The 24,273-nt window shown below is 44.0% G+C and overlaps 8 annotated features.

Moving 5' to 3' along the window:
- Nucleotides 6,079–6,138: a silencer, noted in NCBI's record as "silent region_1608". NCBI's record gives its function as "represses an Ori minimal core promoter by ATAC-STARR-seq in GM12878 lymphoblastoid cells {active_cell/tissue: GM12878}" and the evidence as "EXISTENCE:reporter gene assay evidence [ECO:0000049][PMID:35858748]".
- Nucleotides 8,026–10,631: an enhancer, noted in NCBI's record as "VISTA enhancer hs1862". NCBI's record gives its function as "enhancer in: heart[6/6]" and the evidence as "EXISTENCE:transgenic organism evidence [ECO:0001131][PMID:17130149]".
- Nucleotides 9,069–9,278: an enhancer, noted in NCBI's record as "active region_2183". NCBI's record gives its function as "activates an Ori minimal core promoter by ATAC-STARR-seq in GM12878 lymphoblastoid cells {active_cell/tissue: GM12878}" and the evidence as "EXISTENCE:reporter gene assay evidence [ECO:0000049][PMID:35858748]".
- Nucleotides 9,118–9,402: a silencer, noted in NCBI's record as "fragment chr1:181122141-181122425 (GRCh37/hg19 assembly coordinates)". NCBI's record gives its function as "represses an EF-1alpha promoter that drives an FKBP-Casp9 reporter gene in an ReSE screen in phorbol 12-myristate 13-acetate-treated (for megakaryocytic differentiation) K562 erythroleukemia cells {active_cell/tissue: K562(+PMA)}" and the evidence as "EXISTENCE:reporter gene assay evidence [ECO:0000049][PMID:32094911]".
- Nucleotides 15,758–15,877: an enhancer, noted in NCBI's record as "active region_2184". NCBI's record gives its function as "activates an Ori minimal core promoter by ATAC-STARR-seq in GM12878 lymphoblastoid cells {active_cell/tissue: GM12878}" and the evidence as "EXISTENCE:reporter gene assay evidence [ECO:0000049][PMID:35858748]".
- Nucleotides 16,466–16,760: a silencer, noted in NCBI's record as "tiled region #5219; K562 Repressive DNase matched - State 9:DNaseU". NCBI's record gives its function as "represses a minimal TATA promoter and a strong SV40 promoter by Sharpr-MPRA in K562 cells {active_cell/tissue: K562}" and the evidence as "EXISTENCE:reporter gene assay evidence [ECO:0000049][PMID:27701403]".
- Nucleotides 22,845–22,894: a silencer, noted in NCBI's record as "silent region_1609". NCBI's record gives its function as "represses an Ori minimal core promoter by ATAC-STARR-seq in GM12878 lymphoblastoid cells {active_cell/tissue: GM12878}" and the evidence as "EXISTENCE:reporter gene assay evidence [ECO:0000049][PMID:35858748]".
- Nucleotides 22,905–22,974: a silencer, noted in NCBI's record as "silent region_1610". NCBI's record gives its function as "represses an Ori minimal core promoter by ATAC-STARR-seq in GM12878 lymphoblastoid cells {active_cell/tissue: GM12878}" and the evidence as "EXISTENCE:reporter gene assay evidence [ECO:0000049][PMID:35858748]".

Consider the following 24,273-nt stretch of genomic DNA (forward strand, 5'->3'; position numbering starts at 1 on the left):
TGCCTTAAAGAAAAGTGCCAATTCCTCAGTATTTTATACTTAGGAGAGTGTTCCCATCCTTCTCTCTTGCCTCTCCTCTGTACCTCTCATTACCACCCTCCTTCACCCCATTCCCCAGCCTGGTCATCTCATTCATAGCTCCATGCTTTTGTGCTTTGTTTTTGTCAGGAAAGCCCTTCTCCTTCAGTGGTCAGCTAACTACTCCTCCATGAAGCCATCCCTGATTCCTACTCCAGCCCCCAAGGAAGAGGTAAGTTTTTATGTCACCCCTCACTAAGCCCACACACATGAATGAATGGATGAGTAAACGAAGCTCAGCTGATGAGTGGACTATCCAGTTCAAAAGATGAGGTTGTTTCTGAAATGAATATAAACCAAACTGTGGCTACGTTTTTGAAGGTTGCTGCTATGATGCACTGAATGTGTCTGTGTGTGCATTGGTGGGATACAAAGACTCTGTTAGGGTAAATAATTTGATGGGCCTTGAACTTACACAAGCAGACTAGTTTCAGAACATTGCCATGGAGACGAATGAGGACTCAAGCAGCAGGGTACCACTTAGGCAATGACAGATTTTACAGAAAATGGGCTTAGATACACCTTTCTTGTCAAAAAATCTCCTAGCTAATGGGGAGAGTGCTTCAAGGCAGAATAAAAGCTTGCACCCTCAATGAACAAAAAGCTCCTGAAGTTAGAAAACCAGGAAGTAGCAGGTCAGGAAGAAGATAAATTCTTAGCGATAGACTGAAAGACAAATGGCCAAAGAGGATGTTGGGGCCATGCCATGATGTTAGATGGAGTTCAGCATATTATATTAGAAAATAAACAAAGGATGAAGATGTTTCAAATGTATCTTTATATGTTCTGTTGCGTGAAGTGAGGAAGCTGTTCCCTTGGTCCTTGGCAAACTGTTAAATCATTTATGTATTTATTTATTTATTTGAGATAGAGTCTCACTCTGTTGCCCAGGCTGGAGTGCAGTGGCGCAATTTTGGCTCACTGCAACCTCTGCCTTCTGGGTTCAAGCGATTCTCCTGTCTCAGCCTCCTGAGTGGCTGGGATTACAGGCACCCGCCACGATGCCAGGGCCATTTTTGTATTTTTAGTAGAGACGGGGATTTCACCATGTTGGCCAAGCTGGTCTTGAACTCCTGACCTCAAGTGATCTGCCTGCTTTGGCCTCCCAAAGTGCTGGGATTAGAGGCATGAGCCACCACACCTGGCCATGTTAAATCATTTATTACAGAACTAGGACTATATAATCTCCTACATAGCCACCATAGAACCTTTCAAGTCAGGGCTTGCACTTGGACACATCTGCCATCCAATCCACAGACCCCATTCAAAATTTTCAAGCTGTCCCAACAATGTCTCTTTTTCCTTTCTAGTCCAAGATCATATCCAGGAATACAAGTTGCATGGTTCTTGTGCCTCTTTAGTTTTCTCCAATTTGAAACAGTTTCTTAGTCTTTCCCTGTCTTTCATGTCATCGACTGTTTTAAAGAGTACAAACCTTTCATTCTGCAGGACGTCCCTGGGTCTGTCTAATGTCCTGGTGTCCAGACTTGGGTCATGCTCCCTTGATAAGAACACCACAGAAATGATGCTATTCTCATTTCAGCAAATTGCATGGGGTGGAAGGAGGAGACATAGGATGTCAATCCATTCCACAACTGGAACTGTTTATTTTGATCACCAGTCACGTACCAACGTTTGTCTGCCAGGTTTCTCTCCTATAAAGACCCCATTTACCCCCTTTAAATTGATGGCATTTTGTGGGGAGGTAATCCTGTTCTTTATCAAACTTGCATCTCCCAATCTTAGCCTCCATTGATGTCTCCTGCCAGAATCAACCACAACTATGACAGTTTCCAAATTATGGTTTTCTATTTCCATCATTCCTTTTCATTTTATTAGTTGGTGGGCTACTGTAATACAAAGCTTTCCCATTTTCTATGTTCGTTTGCATATTTATTTCAGTAGGGAATCTTGTTTTATTCAATGGATTGTATTCCATTGCCGTCCTTGTTTATTTTGATGTTCACATTGCTCCAGATATGGCCAGTGGAGTCCCTTCAGCTTGGCTCCTGCCTCCTTCTGACACATCTCCACCATTCTCAGCACTGTCTTACTTTCTGGCACTACAAAATGACCAAGGCTCATCATGGTACTTTTCCTTCTCCAGCCTGGAATTAGCTCTTTCTCCAAGGAGCCCTGCCTTCTTGTAGTGGAGGATGGTGTTTAGGAACCAAAATCTGAGCCCTTAGTGTGCTTCTTGTTACTGAGGTGTCATTGCTTCTAGGCCTGTTGAGTGGACAGATCTAGGAAATATATGTGTGCATATGTACACTCACAGGTGTATACACACATCTACAACTATTTCCATATCTACCTGTGTTTATATATCAGAAAACAGTAAGTCGATGATACTCACACCTCCAGTTCCAATCCACCTCAGTGTTCTTTATAGTTTCCTTCTTTTCTATATTTGTAATTCTCTTCTCCAACAGTAAGAAACCGGACTGTCATTATCCTCAAGATATGTACTTATTTGCTCAATAAGTTTACTTATTTTTGTAACGTAATCAATCTCCCAATGACAGCAGCTGTGTCTTTCACCTCTACTCCCTGTCCCCACCTCTAGTGCCCTGTATCCTTAGGTGCCAGCAGGCATATCATCAGTGAACTCCACACAGCAGCCCCCTCTCTGTCAGTACCCCATAGGGGCCCTATGTGACTCTTCCAGGCCAGGAAGGGAGGGGAAGGAAAAAGAGAAGAAAGGAAGATGAAGCCTGTGTGGATTGTTTTAACTGAATGCCAAAAGGAAGAAGGAGATGCCATTTTGCCTATGCCAGCAAGTGCTTTGTCAAGTATTGATCAATAAGAAAGTACAGATATCAATAAGAAAGTATATACTCATGCATGTACGAATCAGTGATGAATATGACTTTAATACATAATCTAGTTATTTATGTTTAAAAGTAGTACATTGTTGATACTCCTTTCTTCACAAATACCCTAAAACCTTGTAGATGGGGTGGAGTGGGAAATATAAATTATCAGAAATGTGATCAGGAGTCAAAGAAATGCCCAAAGGGCAATTCAGAGTTGCATTCAGGCCTCAGAACAGGACACTTCTCAAAATTTGGGAGACAAAGTTAAAAATAGCTTATCCTGGTGGGCACGGTGGCTCATGCCTGTAATCCCAGCACTTTGGGAAGCTGAGGTGGGCAGATCACTTAGAGCTCAGGAGTTCAAGACCAGCCTGGCCAACACGGCAAAACCCCATCTCTACAAAAATACAAAAAAATTAGCCGGGCATTAGTGGTTCATGCCTGTAGTCCCAGATACTCAGGAGGCTAAGACTGGAGAACCTCTTGAGCTCAGGAAGCAGAGGTTGCAGTGAGCCGAGATTGCACTACTGCACTCCAGCCTGGGCAAGAAAGTGAGACCCTTTCTCAAAAACAACAACAGCAACAAAAACAAAAACAAACTTGTTTATCCTCTGAGGTTGAAGCCAACAAAAAGCAGCCCCAAATAAATGAGATTAACTACCTGTGGGTGGAACTGTCTTGGAAGATGACTTATAATTGACTCCAGGCATCTTTCACATCTCCATGAAGGAGAATGAAGAGCCTTCCAAAATCTTCCTCTGCAGTAGTTCATTCATTCAACACTATTCACCTTGATGTCTGCCGTGTTTTCCCTTGTAACAATGCTATTTATCTCTTTGGAATTGTATGTCAGTTGGCTGAGCACTGGAGGATATAACAGGGAAGAAAACACATTCCTCATAGTCAGAAAGTTCATGGTCTGGAGTGGGAGACAGTGACCAGGGCACTTCAGCATGTGAGCTATGTGCATTGAGAGGCGTGAGCATCTAGCTCTGACTGGGTGGAGGTATGTGGAAAGGTGTGCCAGGGAGGTGACCGCTAAGTGGACACCTGAAGGACTCATGGGAATCAGCCAAGAGAAGGGAGTGGAGGGAATGTTACGGGATGAGTGGCCACATGTCCCAAGGTCTGGAAAAGTGAGAGAGCACGGAGCGCCTGGCCAGTGGCAAGTGGGAATGTCAAGTTTGAGGGGGAATGGGGTGGGGGTGAGATGGAGAGCTAAGCAGGCCTGGATCATCAGAGGTCTTGGAAGCCGTATTTAGGCATTTGGACTTCGTCCTAGGGAGAGCGAGACATCCCTCAAGTGTGATCCGTAGACGTGTGATATGATCATGATCCCATTTTAGAAAAGCTCCCTGACTGTGTACAACAAGTTAGCCATACTCCTGGTTAAGGGCACAGTCTCCACAAGACTGCCCTCACTTCAGACATCAGCCCCAAGTTTGGAGGTCCTCAGGGTCACCTTCTCTTCTGACAAGTTGCCTAGAAATTCAGGGGTTCCCACACTACCTTCAGGTTTGATGATTCACTAGAACAACTCATGGAAATCCGGGAAGAGCTATACTTATGATTACAGTTTTATTATAATAAAAAGATACAAATTGGAACCTGTCAAAGAAAGGGACACATACAGCAGAATCTGAGAGGGTTTCAAACATGAAGCTTCTGTGTCCTCAGGATACAGTGCCCTGCCAGCATTGTATGTGACAACATTTATGCAGGAAGTCCACTCAAGCTTTGTCATACAGTTTTTACTGGACTATAATGAAGTCCAGAGCCTTCATTAGCTAGTTGTGATTGATCGAATTTTTGCTCTTGTGGGTGGACTCGATCTCCAGGCCTCCTCCCCTTCCCAGAGGTCAGGCTGATATCATGAGGCCCAAAGCCCCAACCCCCTAACCACATGGTTGGTCCTTCTGGCATGGTCAACCCATACACTGAGTCCTCTCATACTAAATAAGGGACCCACCACGAATAACACAGATACTCCTATCACTTGGGAAATTGCAAGGATTTAGAGGTTACCTCCCAGGAGCTGGGACGAATGCCAGATCTCTCCTTAGGTGAGGCCAGATTCCTTACTCACACCGTGGTGTGGCAATTAGACTGGATGAAAGCAAGTTTAGAAGCAGGGAAATCAATTGCTAGTTGCTGCAGCAATCCAAGGAAGAGAACATGGTGGTCTGGACCAAAGAACAGCAGAAGGAATGGAAAGAAGTGGAAGGTTTTCAAATGCTTGAATCCTAGAATGTCAGGACTTGGTGGCTGACTACTGGATAAGGGGTTTGAAGGATGGGGAGGAGTCAAGGATGATGAATAGGTATCTGGCCTGGGCAAATGGTTGGTTTGGGGCTGCTGTTTGCCAACACCTTTGGCTTTTCAGTTTCCTGAACAATCAGCCTCGCAGAGTGCTTGGCACATAGTGAGCATTCCATAAATATCTATTGAATAAAGAATGAACGAATGAATGGACTCATCTTTAAGCAAAAGAGACAGTGACTGGACCTAGACTGCTGCAAGAGAGCAGACCAGGCTCAGAAATGTTTATTGTCCACTTCTGAGACGGGGTCACAGAGGAGCTCACCTATCTTCAGCAACTGGACATTTTCACCTTCCATGTAGGAGGCTTCCCAGGCCTGCTTAAGTAGGTGTGTATGTGTATGTGTATGTGTATGTGTATGTGTATGTGTATGTGTATGTTTATGTGTACATGTATGTGTGTAATGAGCGGTGGCTCTATGCAAGTTGTGAATTTTATTGATCATTTGAAAGCCTGACTCATAATATTATTTTGGGGAGGCTTGAAAAGGGGCTTATGTGTACTTAGAATGGAATTGGGATGAGTGTTGAGGAGGAACTTACTTTCTCCTCTTTTCACATTTCCGTATGAGGGAGTTTGATTAGGGTGACATTCCTAGCTTCTCTCTGTCTCTTACTCTATTTTCTTTAGTAGTTGAACTGCTTAGTGAGCCTGTAAAGGAAATTGAGGTTATGTGGCTCAGCCACTTCCGGGCCCTCTCTTAGGATCTGCCTGCCTGTAGAGAGTATGATCATTGCTTTCAGCCAGGTGCTTAGTGAGGCAGGCCTCACGGTGGGAGGCCTCGGGGATGCAGCTGTGCTAGTGCGTGGAAGGGCGAGTCTGCCTGATCCTGGGATGCAGTGTTAGAAAGCACACGGTTACTGTGTCCCTAAGTCACATTTCCTGAATCGGTTTTGTTATTCATATGTTCATGAAAGAGGGATGGTATCTATTTCAATCTCTCCCCAACACTGGGCTCCCAGCTGAAGGAAAGATGTCTGCAATGGGCTTTTCATGGCTGAAATGACCCTGCCCTGGTTCCCTGGGGAGTGGTTTTATGGCTCCCTCCCAGCTTCAGTTCCCATTTGTCTTAGTCCATTTTCTGTTGCTATAACTGAATATCTCAGACTAGGTAATTTATAAAGAAAAGAAATTTATGGAATTATTGTAGTTCTGCAGGCTGGAAAGTCCAAGGTCAAGAAACCACATTGAGCAAGAGCCTTGCTGGTGGGGATTCTCCATAGAGGCTCAAGGTGGTGCAGGGTATCACATGGTGGAGGGCTCATGAGAGACCTGAACTGGCTTTTAATAACAGACTCGCTCTTGTGATAACAAACCCACTCCCCTGATTTCCCATTAATCCATTAGCCCATCAATCCATTAATCACATTAACTATTAATTATTAATCAGAGCCCTCCTGACCCATCACCTCTTAAAGGCCCCTCCTGTTAATACTGTTACATTAGAGATTAAGTTTCAACATGAGTTTCAGAGGGGACAAATTCTGTTCTTTTAGAGAGCCTCCCAGATTCCCTTCATGATTAGAATATGGTTATACAGTCTGAGCTGGGATTGAGTTAGGGTTACTGGATTGTGATTTCCAGCTGGTTTTAAGAACCATGAACCTGGTACTCAATAAATACTAGTTGATGGCCTGGGGAATGTGAAGCTTAGGCTTGTGTGATATTGGTGTTGGGTGGGCTTTCGGCAAGACACCAGTGGATATGGGCAATATCTTGGTGCTGATGTTGGCTGCTCCCAGATGCATCTGGGGACTTTTCCAATGCTAACCAACAGGTGCTATTTGTTATATCACAAAAATCCTCCAAGTCCACATGACTGAAAATTGGGGGCAAAGGTCACCTCTGAAAGCTTATTTCTATCTTATTCCTATGTCATTCCTGAAAAATCCATGTGCTTATTATAGATTGTAGTGGTGATAAAAGAGGTGAATTGCTGAACTGACAAAAATACTACAAAGTAGAAGCAGGGGATTAAATATACAAAATTGTAACCTGTGATCAAAATTGTGACTTTGATCTAGGCTTAGAAATTGTTACACCTTAGCCCATGTTACTGGCAGGCAATGTAAAGTCAATATATTGCCAAAGAATTTGTCAGCCACACTGGGCAGTGTCCTCTCTACTAAAAGGCCACAGCCATGGAATGAAAGCCCTGCTCCTGGTCACAGACAGCCCAGGTCTGTTCTGGGAGCCAGATTTAAGGGAGGCCATAGCAGTGCCAGATGGTAGAAGCCAGAATATGGACTGTGGAGCCGGGTAGAACCTGGTTTGAATCCTGCCTCTGCTGTGAATGACCTTGGGCATATAACTTAACCTCTCTGAGCTTCTCTGAGCCACTGTCTTCTTATCTGTGAAATGGGAATGGTAACATCACACTAGATTCTTGTCAAGATCAAAAAAAGATGATGTACTTATATGAGTACCTAGCACCATGCTTTGTTGACATTGACATGTGAGACCCTTTCTCTCAGACTCTATCCTGATTGCATCAGAATTCTACAAGGCCTGGCATCCACTTATCAAGGGTATTAATTTCCTCCACGAGGCTGCTTTGACCTCCAGAACCCAGCGGGCGTGCTCTTCTGAACTCTCCACCTTATCACCTCCATGGATCATATCTTGCTTTGCTGAGTGTGCTTTCTATTCCTGTATCTGCATTTTACTTCCTCGATTAGGGTGTAATCTCTTTCCAAGCAGAAGCTTTCATCTTTTTAAAATGTTCCATTTTTGCATTTTAGCGCCGTGCCTTTTTGCACATAGCGCTTGCTCAAAAAATAGGGATCGGTTGATATTTTATCTACTTTTGTGTCCTAAAAATTGCCCCAGAGTCATGAGCTGAACTTAGCTTACATGAGGTCGTTACTACAAAGTCACAACATGTTTATTCATTTATCTGTTTATGTGGTAGCCCTACCATGACTCACACATCCAAATGAGGATTGCAGCCGTATAAGGGGCACTGTGAAGGCTGACTGTGATTCTGGGAGCCTGTCACCTCGCAAAACATTTTTGGAACTCCTGCTTTGAATCAGTGCCAGAGTTGCAGTGGTGAATCTTCACACCTCCTGGGAGGAGTTATTTTTGGAAACAGTGAAAATCTGTCTGGTCACATTTGGTAGGTGTGGTCATTCAGGGCCTGAGTGTGAGGAGGGATGCTCAGTGGAGTGATAATTAGTTAATATTTAATTGGCCATTTCCAATGTGTCAGCCAGTTTACATCCACTGTCTTATTTTAATCTTAATGTGACCTCTATGAAGTAGGTGGTCTTGTTATCACCATTTTATAGAAAAGGGACCCTGAGGCACAGAGAGTATAAACCACACTCTGTACAGGGACTCCATGGCTTTTTACCCATTATTAAGCTAGTGTAGCAGGCACAGGGGACATACCCAAGTAACCCTTATGTACCCTAGCAGAGATGAGGGACCTGGACACCTTTTTTAAAAACAATAAGGCCAAGGACAGCCACATTTGGATTAGTGGGAGCAGGGGGAGAGTATGGGGAATGCGGGAACCCGGGAGGAGCTAAGAAAACTGGTCAGATCCTGCATCATAGGTGAGTACAGGCACCCCAGGGGGCCCAATGGGAGAGACCAGAGAAGGGAGGAGAGCACTGGGGCTTGTTTGGGAACCTCTGAGTGGGTAAAGATGGTCACTAAAATCTCCAACCAAAGGAATTCTTTTTATGCCTCTCTTTTTTGCTTTCTTAAAATTGTATTCATACTTGCTGATTATAAAAGGAGTTCAAGTTCATCGTAGAAAACTTAGAAAATATAGAGAAGTGATAAAGAAAATAAAAGTCATCTGTAAATGTCCCTCTCCTCCCCCAGGCCTCAGGCTTTGCTAAGACAAGGCCGCTGAGCAGATCAGCACACATCGGGTTATTTATAAAGCTCCCGCCTTCCTCTCCACCCACTCCCCTCTCTCTTGGCTACGGAGAAGCCTTCGGCCAGGACATTCCCTTGCAGCCTACTCAAGCTGCTATATAAAGCCCTGCACTTCTCGGGGCTGGATCAGAACGTTCCTTATCTCTCTGCAGCAGGACGCTGATAATCTGCCCAGCTGGCAGGCGCTCTGAGGTCGGCTTGGGCTGCTGCTCTCAGGGCCTACAGCCCCCGTGTGGTCGTCTTCTCTGGTTCCCACTGAAACTTGGCCAACAACACTAACTGAAACCTCAAATATAGGAAGTTGTTGGCTTGTTTCATTAGAGGGCAGTTGCCAGACAGCTGAGATGAACTTAATGGGCTTGGCATGGGTGACTGGTGTGTCCAGCACATTCAGGCTTAGTGGTCAATACTGATGGCCCATCGTAACGTCCCCTTCGGAAGCAGCTGTGCCAGCTCCCTCCTTCCCCAGCCCCCACCCCTGTTCCATCCCCTCTCTGCATTAGTGCTTGGCTCAGAGTCTTCTTCATCCATATGGCTTCTACAGGCAAAGGCCTTCTGTGGCCAGGTGGCCTGCTGCATTGCAGTGCCACAATTCCAGGCTGGACTTCTACCTAATTGAGAGTGGACCACAGCAGACGTACTTGCTCTGCCTAGAAAATAAGTTTTGTCATGAGAGGCAGAACCATCTTATTGCTGTAAGTCAGGGCAGAGGAGTGTGCAAAAGAGGCAAGGTATTATCCTGAAAAAATACACAGGTTTTAAATCGGAGCTGGTGTGACATCCTAGCTTCTCCACTTAGAAAGAAGTGTGATCCTAAGTAAGTTATGTAACCCCTTCGAAGCCTGGTTTTCTCATCTTTAAAATGTAGAGTGATATTTCCATCTTAGAACTGTTGTAAAATGTAAATAAGATGACATATGTAAAGCACTGAAAACATACATCAGATGGCATTATGGTAGCTATTTTTTTGTTTTGTTTTGTTTTGTTTTTGAGATGGAGTCTCACTCTGTTGCCCGGGCTGGAGTACAGTGGCACAATCTCGGCTCACTGCAACCTCTGCCTCCTGGGTTCAAGCAATTCTCCTGCCTCTACCTCTCAAGTAGATGGGATTACAGGCACCGACTACCACCCCCAGCTGATTTTTGTAGTTTTAGTAGAGACGGGATTTCACCATGTTGGCCAGGCTGGCCTCGAACTCCTGACCTCAGGTGATCTACCTGCCTCGGCCTCCCAAAATGCTAGGATTACAGGCATGCTAGGATTACAGGTGTGAGCCACCGTGCCCAGCCTTATGGTAGCTATTATAATTATTGTTAATAATATTATTATTTATGAACATTTGAATGAGAAAGAGTTGGTGGTTTCTTTTTTTCCTCTTAGATTCAAGATCCAATAGGGAAACTTTTGACCTTGGTTGTTAAGAAACCCATCTAGGCAGGTAGGTGTGTGTTTCCATTGATATTTAAATGAGTTTTTCAAGTGTTGAGAGAATTTTTTCAAAGCAACTTCTGGGCCCTGAGAAGGTTCTGGTTCACCTTCATATTGGCCTCATAAGAATCAGGTCAACCTCATATGAAAAGGCAAGTCGTTGTACCTACTTCTTGGTCAAAATTTAGTAGCAAAATATTCCTGCTGTAAGCCACAAGACATTTTCAAGATGGAATGATTATCTGTAAAACAGCAATAATGAAAACATCACTTACCAGAACTTAGGAGGTACAGTTAAAGCAGTGTCCAGAGGAAAATGCGTAGTGTGATGGATCATTTTGTGTGTCAACTTGACTGGGACACAGGGTGCCCAGATATTTTGTCAAACATTATTCTGGGTGTGTCTGTGAGGGTGTTTCTTTTTTAAAATTATTATTATTATTTTTTTGAGACAAGGTCTTGCTCTGTCACCTAGGCTGGAGTGCAGTGGCGTGATCTTGGCTTACTGCAACCTCCATCTCTTGGGCTCAAGCGATCCTCCCACCTCAGCATCCTGAGTAGCTGAGATCACAGGCATGCCACCATACCTGGCTAATTTTTGTATTATTATTATTTTTTGAGATGGAGTCTTGCTCTGTCAGCCAGGCTGGAGTGCAGTGGCATGATCTTGGCTCACTGCAACCTCTGCCTCCCAGGTTTGAGCAACTCTTATGCCTCAGCCTCCCGAGTAGCTGGGATTACAGGTGTGCACCACCACATCCAGCTAATTTTTCTATTTTTAGTAGAGATGAGGTTTTTGCCACATTGGCCAGGCTGGTCTTGAACTCTTGGGCTCAAGTGATCCACCTGCCTCAGCCTCTCAAAGTGCTGGGATGACAGGTGTGGGCCCCCATGCTGGCTGAGGGTGTTTCTATGTGAGATTAGTGTTTGAATTGGTAGATTGTAAAGCAGACTGCCCTTCCTGATGTGGGTGAGCCTCTTCCAATTCATTGAAGGCCTGAATGGATCAAAAAGGCAGAATAAGAGAATCTTCTCTCTCTCTCTCTACCTATCTTTGAGCTGGAACATCAATCTTCTCCTGTCTTCAGACTCAGACTTGGACTGGAACTTAAATCATAAGCAATCGTGGTTCTCAGGCCCTCAGACTTGGACTGGAATGACATCATCAGTTCTCCTGGGTCTCCAGGTTGCTGACTGCAGATCTTACAAATTCTCATCCTCCATAATTGTGTGAGCCAATTCCTCATAACAATTTAATACATATCTACATAGATATCCGATTAGTTATGTTTCTCTGGATAACTCTGATTAATATGCATAGTCTTATAATGAATTAATAAAAAATTAAACAGGAATGAGAAAATGAAATAAGCATCCAATGGAAGTAGTTAGAAAAAAGGCAATAAATGTCAAGAAAGCAGAAAGGAATTAATAAATGTTAAAACAGAAATCAATTAATTAAAAAACAAAAATATTTTATAATTGATAAACTGATACATAATAAATATATTCAAAATAAAATTCTTTGAAAAAACAGTAAGATTTCTAAATTGTCAGCTAATCCTCTTGAGAGAAAAGAAAAGAGGAAGCACAAATAAGAAATGCTAAGGGGTACTCGAGAGGCTGAGGTGGGAGAATCACTTGAGCTCAGGAGTTCAAGGTCAGTCTGAGCAACACAGCGAGATGCTGTCTCTAAAAAAATTAAAAAAAAAAATAGCCAGGTGTGGTGGTGTGTGACTGTGGCTCCAGCTACTTGGGAGGCAGAGGAAGAAGGATCACTTGAGCCCAGGAGTTCAAGGCTGCAGTGAGTTATGATCATGCTATTGCCTAGTTGACAGAGCAAGACCCTGCTCTTAAAAAATAAAAGAAAAAAAGAAATACCAACGGGACAATAACTACAGATAAAGGAAATTAAAAGAATCCTTAGGGACTATTTTGCTGAACTACATGTAAGAAAATTTAAAAACTTATGTAGTTAAGAATTAACCTTACCCAAAGAGAGGTTTGGCTTTTGTCCTGGCTCCTGGAAGGTAAGCTCTGGACCCTTGGAATGTCCTGCCTGATAAGAGTATCTTTGTCTACCTGGGAGCCTTAGGCCACCCTGGATAGTCAAATCCCATGTGATTTATGATGGGAGCTGGGGGCACATGGTATCTGTTCTACCTCCTGTGGGTCCAGAGAGGAAAGGTCAGCCCCATGGACAGTCAATTATGTCTGTGTTCTTGAGCCCCAGTAAAAACTCCGGACACAAAGGCTCAGGTGAGCTTCTCTGTTTGGCAATACTCTGTGTGTATTGTCACACATTGCTGCCGGGGAAAGCAGCATTTTCCATGGCTTCGCAGGGCGAGGGCAACTGGAAGCATTGTGCTTGGAACTTTCCTGGAGTCTGCCCTAAGTGCCTCTTCTCTTGCCTGATTTTAATCTGTATCCTTTGTCTATAATAAACCATTAACCACAATGTAACAGCTTTTAGTGAGTTATGTGAGTCCTGGCAAATTATTGAAACTGAGGGTGGTCAGTTTCAACTTTGTAAAGCCTGACATATTGGATACTTTTCTGGGAAAATATAATTTGCCAAAAACTGACTCAACATCATAGTCAATATCAGTTTTGCCTTAGTTAACCTATAAATTAAAAGAAATCCCAAGAAACCTAACAGTTCATATGAAAAAAGAAGCAATGAAAATCAATGGGAAATGAGCCCTACAAGATATACTGTAATGCATATTATAAACCTACAATAAATAAAATAGTGTAGGACATCTTGGAGTTGGAATGAGATAAGACGTCCAGAAATAAACCAAAACTTATTGGGAGTTTAGCTTCTGATAATGATGGCATTTCAAATCATTCAGGAAAAGAAATGAATTATTCAATAAATGGTGTTGAGACAACTGGGTAGCCATCTGGAAAAAAATTAAGTTGGATTCAGATCTCACTTCTTATATTAGGATACATACCAGGAGAAGTCAGTGATTTAAATGTTTCAAAATGATAGAAACAAGTTTGGGAGAGTAAAAAAGGATCTAATGACCATGTTGGAACAGGGAAGAACTTCCAAAGTATGACACTAAAAACAGAAGCCATAGAGAAAAAAACAATAACTTCTATTGCATTAAAATTATGCATGGGAAAAAGAACAAAAGTCAGTTCAGAAGAGTAATGTCAAACCAGAAAAATTATGCTAATATTCCTAATGCATAATGACCTTCTCTTCATCAACAAGAAAAATGACATACTATACAGTAAGAACATTTGCAAAAGGTATGAACAGAGAGTTCGTAGAAAAAGGAACACAAGTGTTTTATGAACATATACAAAGCTGCTTCACATTACTCATAGTAAGAGAAATAGTAAAATAAAACAACAGAGATAGCATTTATCATTTTTTACTTAACAAATTGACAAAAGATTAAAAATTTGTTTATATACTGTTGGTGAAGGTATGAAGAACAGAAACTCTTATACGTTGCCGACGGGACACTAAATCTATACAGCCTATATAGGTGACAAAAATGACAAATGTACACACCTGTTGTTTAGCTTTCTACTCCTAGCAATTTATCCTAGTCACTTTTGGACAAAATGAAGTATGTACCAAGTTATTCACTGCAACATTGTTTGAAAGAGTAAAAGACTGGAAACCTTTTAAATGTCTATCAGAAAAGCAGCAACTAAATCAGTTCTTGTATGTTGAGGCAATGTAATACTATGCAGCTCTAAAAAAATTAAGATTAGTTCATCTTTAATGCAAGTAAAAAAAAAAAAAGGAAGTTTTGTTTTGTTTTGTTTTGAGATGGAGTCTCACTCTGTCCCAGGCTGGAGTGCAATGGCATGATCTTAGCTCACTGCAACCTCCACCTCCTGTATTCAAGCTATTCTCCTGCCTCAGCCTCCCGAGTAGCTAATTTTTGTATTTTTTTAGTAGAGATGGGGTTTCACCATGTTGGCCAGGCTGGTCTCGAACTCCTGACCTCATGATCCACCCACCTCGGCCTCCCAAAGCATTGGGATTACAGGCGTGAGCCACCTTGCCCGGCCCTCGAAGGAAGTTCTTTATGTACTGATATGGGAATAACCTCCCAGATACACTTCACAGTGAAAAAATAAGGTGCAGAACAGTGTGTGCAAAAGTGTGCTATCATTTCTGTAGAATGGGAAAGAACATATGTGACAGTGAGAGCTGATATATAGTGTTGAACCTCCCTTGTGAGGTAGGTACCACAATTATGTCCTGTTCTGTGGATGAGGGTAACTGGGGCACAGAGAAGCTGTCCAAGGTCACATACTAACTGGTGAGGGACAGTGCTACGTCTTGAACTCAGGCAGTCTGGCTTCAGAATTTTTACTCTCATTACTACATCATGTTCTTTTGTATGTATACCTGGGCATATTTGTTTGTATTTTCATAAACTATCTCTGGGTGATTAAGAGAAACTATGGGAAGGGGATATTTCACTGTATTTCCTTCTGTGCATATGACTACTGGGTCACATGAAATATTATCTATATATTTTTTAAAAATTCAATAAACGTATGATTAGGAGCAGGGTGCAGGGGAGGGGGATATGTTGCTTAGGACCTGAGTTCCCTAAGGCAGTTGTAAAATTCCAGCCTGGGTACCAGGGGCAGAAGGTCTCCGCCTGCTGTGCTGGCTACACTGTGTGGCCTCACCATGGCTCTGATCCACTCATAGGGCTCTTGCATGAATGGTGGGTGAAGGTGAGCCAGGAGATGCCCAGGTCCTGCCTACTGGAGGGCTGTGCCAGCCCACCTTGTCTTATTCTGATTCTGGGGTCCAGGGTCAAGGAGGTGGTCAGCAGGCTGGACCCTGCACTTGGGCCTTTGGTGTGATCCAAGGCCATTGTCCCCACACCCTGGGGCTATCAGTTTACCTGCTGGGCTTGCTTGGGCATCTCAGGACAGTGGGATGGGATGGGGCAGGGTCTATTTTTGGTGGTGCCCATAATGGGTTCCTGCACAGGAGCATGTTCCTGGGAACAGAGGTGCTGCAAGCAGGAGCACCTTCAGGTTTTCAAGCACTTGGACTTCGCTTCAGCTCCAGATAAGAGGCCTACACAGCAGTGCGAGGGAGTCACCCATGGCCACAGAGAGGGCTGTGGGGCTTCCTTTCTGACATACACTCATCTGAAGAGAATTTCCTTTCTCTGCCCTCCCCTTTCTTTGCTTGTCTGGGCACAGCCTGGCGCTGCTGTGTGATGAGTTGGTGCCAGGTGTTCAGAGGCCACCCCTCCCCAGTGGCTGGCCTCCTCCTCCATCTGTGATGAAGGAACCAGAATACCTGCAACAACCACGCAAACTCACAACCACAACTGCCACAAACCACACAACAACCATAGCTGCAACAACCACAGCCATTTGACCACACACCACAAGTGCAGTAACTACCAGAACTGCAGCAACCACACAAGCCACAACAGCAGCAACCACAACACCCGCACAACCACACATCCACAGGGGCCATTAGCTGCTGTTTACCAAATGCGTACTTTGCTCTCACTTAAGACCCTGAGATGCAGTCCCGCAGCCTCCTGCTGTAGATCAGTGGAGGCTGAGGAGGTTGGGTGACTTCCGAAGACTGTCAGGCAGGAATGGGTGGGGCTGGTCTTTGGCTCAGAGACCTTGCTCCTTGGAGGGAAGGTGTGGTCCTTTGAGGACTTCCGTGTCAATTTGGCTGTAAGCCCTCGAGGTGGAAGCTCTTTCTAGTTTCCTTTTCCAGTGGGTGCCCTGAGATGCTTGGCTCCGAACTATGAGAATAAGTGGGCCTCCCTGTGTAAAGGGGTTGGGAGCAACAGGCTTGTTTTCCTCTCGTCCCAGTTCTCATTTTCTGTGGCACCTCATGTGGGAGTTCAGTCAGGCTGGTGGAAAAAATTTTAGATGGAGTTATAGGATATAGACACAAATCTTCTTGGAAGGCTGGGGAGTTCTGCATAGCTTCAGATAGTTTGGCTGAAGGCAGCCAGATTCTCTTTTCAGGAGCCTAAGAGCTTAGGGCGCAGATACAAAGGCATATAAGGGAGTTTATCTAAATAGCATGTTTACACATGTGGTCCTAAGACTAACCTTTGACCATTCGTGGGCAGGATGGCTGTCTTTGGGGGAGGGCAACCAGATTAATTACCCATAGGTGTGTTGACTCAAAGCCTTTGTCATTTAATGTGTGCTGGATAAATGCTGGCAGGACCAGCTAGTTGAGGCCACGGCTGCTACTCTTTACAGCACCTTCCTTGGTGTTTGTGAGGGGCCCAGACCCTTAACTGGACTGACAAGCAGAATATCTGTGTCACTGTACGTTATTCATCCATCGTTGGGTCAGGGTCTGTGGGACAGACCCCCACAACCTCCCACTGGGGAGCAGGCCTCTGGCCTCCTGAAAGCCAATTTCCCAAAGGCCACTTTCCTCCCACCATGCAGTCACAGCTGTATACCTGCTGGTCCACCCTGCTGCCTTGGGGGTCCCGTGAAGGCCGGCTCTGTCTTTCTAGCTTTGCGCCTCTGTGCTCTGTGCAGGGCCTGGCATTTAGCAAGTGGTCTGGCAATGAAGGAAAGAACTTCCCTAGAAGGTTGTAGGGGTCCCCAGATCTTTGTGGCTCACTGTCACGAGTATTTCCAGGTGGATATTTGAGCAGCAGACTGTCATTGGGAAGCAGGGCCTGGGCTCTGGGCCGCATTGGACAAGCAGTTTCTGCTAGCCAGAATCTGCTAGCTTTCTCTCCTGGGTACCGGGGAGGTACTGGGCACAGTGGGCTGAGGCCTGTGGCAAGCTGGGCACAGTCATGGTTCTTTCAGTTTCTGTTTCCTATTAGGGACTGACAATGGAATTAAGGGGCATGGAGAAGAGTGAGGCAGATGGTCCATGCTTCTGGAGAGCTCCGAGGACCTAGATGTTGGGTGTAGGGGGCGCTGGAGGGGATATCAGAGGAGCCATGAGGGGGTCGCAAAGGAGAGGCAGGGAGCGGGTTGGGGTCAGAGTTTGAAGCCAGCTATCAGAGGAGGGAGGGCGCTGGTGGCCTTGCATCATGTGTGGGGTGGAGAGCACAGCCCAGGAAAAACAGTGATGGGGGAAGGAAGGGGTGAGGTGAGGCTGAAAGAAGACGCAAGCTTCTGCTAAGGAGGCTGGGTTTTATGTAATAAGCAACTGGGAGTCATGAGCACCGGAAGATGATGCAGTCCACACGTGGCCACTCAGGAAGACAGCTGCATCTTCTGTGAGGAGGCCTGGGGAGAGCTGTCACCCGGGCAGGATGGTCTACACAAGGTCTGCTGCAAACTCGGGTGCTAGCCTGGGTAGTGGCTGAGAAAATGAGCAGCTGGGACACCAGACGAGCTGGGCTGGGAAGGACGAGGCTGTGTGGTGCATCACCAGCCAGATGCCTGGGGTTGCAGGCTGGGAGTGGGGAAGGTGTGCCCAGGATTTAGAGGACACTGGGGGTGGAGAAGTGGGGGCAAGGGACAGGGGGAGAAGGAGAGGGGATAAGGAGAAATGCATTCTAGATCCAAGAGAATAAGATTTAACAGCAAACTTACTTTGTTCAGTTCATTTCCACATGAGGCTGTGCAAGTGAGAAATGAAGTGTCTCCTCATTACTCTTAATTCTGTCAGTGTTAGGAAGCAAGAAGACTCCCCTCTTCCAGTCCTGGGGGTTGTTAGTTATGCTGAAAAGCACCCTGTGCTCTTTTTTGATTTCAGAGAAGGGGTACATTTTCCTCCAAGGAAGGGGGAGCCAGTTCCGGGACCTATCAGACCAGCACCTCTGAGGTTTGCTAAAGTATTTGCCTGGCTGTTCAGAGGCCCTAGTAACACAGTCAATTAACACATAATTTGTTTTATTTATTTATTTAGAGATGGGATCTTGCTCTGTTGCCCAGGCTGGAGTACAGTGGCATGATCTCAGTTCACTGAAACCTCAACTTCCTGGGCTCAAGTGATCCTCCTGTCTCAGTCTCCTGAGTAGCTGGGATCACAGGTGTGAGCCACCATGCCTGGCTAATTTTTTTGTGGACATGGGGTTTCACTATGTTGCCGAGGCTGGTCTTGAACTCTGGAGCTCAAACAATCTACTTGCCTTGGTCTCCCAAAGTGCTGGGATTATGGGCATGAGCCACCACACCTGGCCATAATTTGTATGTGTATTATAACTATATTCATACAATAAAGTAAGCTAGAGAAAGGAAAATGTTATTATGAAAGTTGTAAGTGAGAGAATACATTTACTATTCATTAGGTAGACGTAGATCATCATAAAAGTCTTTACCCTCATAGCCTTTACATTAAGTAGGCTGAGGAGGTGGGAGAGAAGGGGTTGGTCTTGTCTTGGAGTGGCAGAGGCAGAAGAAAATCTGCATATAAGTAGGCCCAAGCAGTTCAACCCCATGTTGTTTAAGGGTCAACTGTATTTCAAATGAGGAAAGCTTGGGCTAGACTTAGAGAAAGGTAAGCAGGAGAAAAGTAATCATTAGCATGAAATACCTCTGAATTAGAATGCTGTCCACCTCCTCCCTGTCAAACAGCTGTGTGTACCTGGCTCAGGCCCCCTATTATTGTTCTCAAGTGTCAATAAAATTCCATCTGTACCTTCACTGGCTCCTTATCTTCATATAGACCCAGATTTTTGTGCATGCATCTTAGCTCAGATTGCTATAAGAGAATACTAAACTGGGCAGCTAAAGCAACAGACATTTACTTGTTTCTCACAATTTTCAGGATGGAAGTCTGAGATCAGGATACCAACATGTTCAGGTCTGGTAAGGGCTCTCTTCCTGGCTTGCAGACAGCCACCTTCTTGCTGTATCCTCAAATGACAGAGAGAGAGAGAGGAAACTCTACAGTCTCTTCCTCTTCTTATAAGGGTACTAACCCCATTATGAAAGACCAACATTCATGACTTCATTTAAGCCTAATTACCTCCCAAAGGCTTTACCTCCTAATACCATCACATTGGGAGTTAGCATTTTAACATATGAATTTTGAGTGACACAAACATTTAGTTCATAAGAGTATAGTTACCTTGTTCTCCCAAAAGCTTTTTTAATTCTTACAAAGGAGTTAACACTAACTAGTTAATAACATGACTTTGAGGGCTAAGAGATATGCTAGTTGGGAAATGTCTAATATGATATAATGCCTGGCTCACAGCTGGAAGCAATACATCATAGCAATAGTCATTATTGCTTAGATATTTAGTGCTTTTGTAGTTTAGTTCTAAACTTTTGTAATTTTCAATGTGATGTCATTCCACATAAATTTTTTACCTGGAACATGGGCTATAATTTCTTTTAATTATTATAGAAAAGTATATATATTTTCCTCTCACTCTTGAATGAGTAACAGTTTAGCTAGGTATAAAATTCTATATTGATAGTAACTTTCTCTTGGCACTTTGTGAGTTCCTCCCATGTTTTCTGGCATCTGTTTCTGATGATGTTCCTCCCATCAGTGTTCTTTTTTTTTGTAGATAATCTTTTTTTTCCCCCAATGAGATTTTTTTTCTTTATCCTGAGATGTCTCACAGTTTCACTGTAATATATAGACACTTAGCTATATCACAGTGAAAATACAAGTTTCTATGTATCCATATCTAGTGAATTCTAACTTTAATACTGGAAAACTTCAGATATTATCTCTTTGAACATCACTTCTCTCTCATTCCTTTTATTATTTTCTTCTGGAATTCCTATTAGCTGTATGTTGATGCCCGTCAGTGTATCTTCTGTATCTCTTAGCTGCCCTTTCATATTTAAAAAAATACATTTTCCCTCTTTGTGTTGCATTATGGGTGATTTCTACAGTACTGCCTCCTAATTAGTGGATCTCTCTTCTACCATGACAACATAGAGTTTATCCAATACTTATGAGTTTATGTATTTTTTTTTTGAGACTGAGTATCACTCTGTTGCCCAGACTGGAGTGCAATGGTGTGATCATGGCTCACTGCAGCCTTGATTGCCCAGGCTCAAGCAATTCTCCCACCTCAGCCTCCCAAGTAGCTGGGACCACAGGTGCACGCCACTATGCCTGGCTAATTTTGAAATGATTTGTAGAGACGGGGTCTTGCTATGTTGCCCAGGCTGGTCTCAAACTCCTGGGCTCAAGCTATCCTCCTGTCTCAGCTTCCCAAAATGTTAGAATTATAGGAGTGAGCCACTGTGGCTGGCCTGAGTTTATGTATTTTAATACCTATATTTTTCATTTCAATTGGTTCTCTTTTATAACTTGCTTTTGTTTTAGTTTGCCTATTTATTGTTTCATAGTTTATGTTTTTATAAATGGTTGTTAGTCATTCCTTTATATCTTTGAGGATCCTAAACATTTCTTCAAGCACTTTTTAATAGTTGACATATTACATAATTTAAAAAATTTTCTGTCTCTTCCATAGAATGTAAGTTTCAAGAAGGTAGTTGTATTAGTCTGTTTTCACACTGGTATAAAGAACTGCCTGAGACTGGGTGATTTATAAAGAAAAGAGGTTCAATTGACTCACAGTTCTGCATGGATGGGGAGGGCTCAGGAAACTTACAATCATGGTGGAAGGGGAGGAGGCACATCTTACATGGTGGCAGGGAAGAGAGAGCATGCAAGAGCAGGAAAAACTGCCTTATAAAACCATCAGATCTTGTGAGAACTCACTCACGATCATGAGAACAGCATGGGAAAATCACCCCCATGATCCAAGCACCTCTCACCTGGTCCCTCCCTTGACATGTGGGGATTATAAAGGATTATAATTCAAGATGAGATTTGGGTGGGGACACAGAACCAAACCATATCAGCAGTCTTGTTTTGTTGATTATTGTATCTTGAGCACCTAAAACAGTGTCTAGGACATGGTAGGTGCTTAGAATATTTGCTAAATAAATAATCAATTCCTTAAAAAGTCAGTGTCACATTGCCCTACCATTTTCACTTCTTCTGAAGTGAATTCAATTCCTACCATTACATTTTTAGATTACATTTTTTGACTGCCTTTTTAGTCTTTCTCTTGTGGGAGTTATTATTAGTAATTTTAGTCTCTCTCTATGCTCATTCCCTTTCAACCTAGTGGTTTTGCAGTAGCTTCTTTTTGGTCCTCGCAGCCCCCAATTCAGAACCAGATTTTCAATTGTCAGCTCAGGTATCCATACTGCCATGATTTGGGGACGTTGCTGATCCCAACACTGAGCCAGGGGACCTCTTTGGCAAGGTTCCTCTTCAACTGGGATAAGAAGCTTTGTATAAGTCTCAGCCCCAGCATTTTATATTCCTGGTTCTTGGGTGTGAAAGCCCCACCCAGTTTCTGGACTGGGAACCCCTGGCCATGTATAGTTCCCCTTTTACCACAAGAGAAGAGAAAAGCTCCTGGCCACCTCTGCCTGAGTGGTGACCTGGAGAACCTATAGCACCATTTCTGCTGTAGAATTGTATTTCTGTGTTTCTCTGATCCTTGGAGATGCTGATCTTTTTTTTTTTTTTTTTTCCTGGAATGCAATGGCGTGATCTCGGCTCACCGCAACCTCCTGGGCTCAAGCGATTCTCATGCCTCAGCCTCCTGAGCAGCTGGCAGTACATGAACTTGCCACCACGCCCAGCTAATTTTTATATTTTTAGTAGAGACAGGGTTTCACCATATTGCCTAGGCTGGTCTCGAACTCCTGACCTTAGGTGATCCACCTGCAGCAGCCTCCCAAAGGGATGGGATTACATGCGTGAGCCACTGCGCCCGGCCAAGATGCTGATCTTCCGGAGCAAGGCTTGGACTTTCATTTTTAAAATTTTTATATCTTATGTATTATTGCTAGGTGTTTGGAGTGGTGGGGGGCACTTAAAGCATGGATTTACAGTACCATTGTGCCTGGAAGGTGTTTGTGTCCCCCATTAAACCTATTGGAACAGCAGGCCCGCGGGGTTCACTCTGGAATGGCTGCAATGCTGACGTTGGAGGACATGTTAAAGCTCACCTAGCTCTACCTCATCTTACAGAAGCAAGGCCCAGTGGCTTGCTTCAGGCCCCGCATTTTGATAGCCTCGGAGCCAGGAAGGTAAACGTGACTCCGCGCCTGGGTCTTTGAACACTTGCCTTTGAACATCTGATGTTTTTCACGCAGAATGGCCTTCCTGCTTTGCTGCTGTCTGAGCCTCACAGTTTAAGGGTCAGCTCTAGTTCTACCCAGTTTTCTGTAGTCTTTTCTTCTTCCCCAGGCATATGGCACTTAAAAGGGAGGGAAAGAGCATGGGTTTTAATCATTACCTAGTGCCGACCCTGTAGTGGCTCTGCATGTGGGCTGGGCGGAGTGTCTTCACAGTTAATGGCTGTGTGAACGCTCACATTTTATATACGCCACTGCTCTCTAGTGGTCAACCCAGGCATCAACTCTGTAGTCTGGAACAGTGAGTAAAGCCACCCCAAGCCGTTCATAGCAAACATTAAGGTTCTCATAGTCATAACTTTCCTACCATTCATGGAAAAAAAAGTTCAAGTCCTGTTTATTTGGTCTTTCAAAGCCAAATATATTATATTTATTTATATAATCAGAAACTATATATCTACCTCTGTATGTAGAGGTACACACATTCTCCCATTGAAGTTGATCATTTAAGCACCACTGTCCCATAGAAATATCACACAGGGCTGAGGCCAGGCATGGTGGCTCATGCCTGTAATCCCAGCACTTTGGGAGCGTAAGGAAGGAGAATTGCTTGAGCCCAGCAGTTTAAGACCAGCCTGGGCAACATAGCGAGACCCTGTCTCTACAAAAAATAAAAAAATTAGCCAGCGGTAGTGGTGCACATCTGTAGTTCCAGCTACTCGGGAGTCTGAGGCAGGAGGATCACTTGAGCCTGGGAGGTTGAGGCTGCAGTGAGCCGTGATTGTGCCACTGTACTCCAGTCTGGGTGATGAGACTCCATCTCCAAAAAAAACAAAAAAACAAAAAAAACCCAGAAATATAACATGAGCCACATAGTAACTTAAAATTTTCTAGTTGCCGCATTAAAAAATAAAAAACATGTTAAATTCATTTTAATGATATAATTTATTTAACCGAATATATCTAAAATATTATCATTTCAACATGTAATCAATGTAAAAATTACTCACCAGATATTGTATATTCTTTTCTTGATAAGTTTTTGAAATCTGGTATGAATTTTACACTTATAGCACACCTCAGTTCAGACCAGCCTCACTGCAATTGTGGGTAGCCACATGGGACTAGTGGCTACTGCTTTGGACAGCAAAGGTCAAGGGCGGTGGTTTCCAAACTCCGTCCTTGCTCTTGCAATCTCCGGGGAGGGGAGAGGAGCTGAAGTTTAAGTTGATCACCAATGGCCAGTGGCTTTATCAATCATGCCTCATAATGAAGCTTCCATAAAAACCCAAAGAGACAGTGTTCGGAGAACTTCCGGATAGCCGAACACGTGGAGGTTCTTGGAGGGTGGCGTGCTCAGGGAAGGTATGGAAGCTCCATGCTTCTTCCCCCATACCTTGCCCTATGCCTCTCTTTGTTTATATTCTTTGTAATATCCTTCATAATCTGGTAAACATGTTTCCCTGAGTTCTGTAAGCCACTCTGGCAAATTAATCAAACCTAAAGAAATGTGGAAAGCCCAGCTTGAGGATCTGTGACTGGTGTCTGGAGGAAGAGGGAGGCATTCTTGTGGGACTGAGCCCTCAACCTGTGGGATCTGATGCTATCTCCAGGTAGACAGTGTCCGAATTGAATTGGAAGATACCCCTGCAGCTC

The sequence above is a fragment of the Homo sapiens genome, chromosome 1, assembly GCF_000001405.40.
Source record: "Homo sapiens chromosome 1, GRCh38.p14 Primary Assembly".
Lineage (NCBI taxonomy): Eukaryota > Metazoa > Chordata > Mammalia > Primates > Hominidae > Homo > Homo sapiens.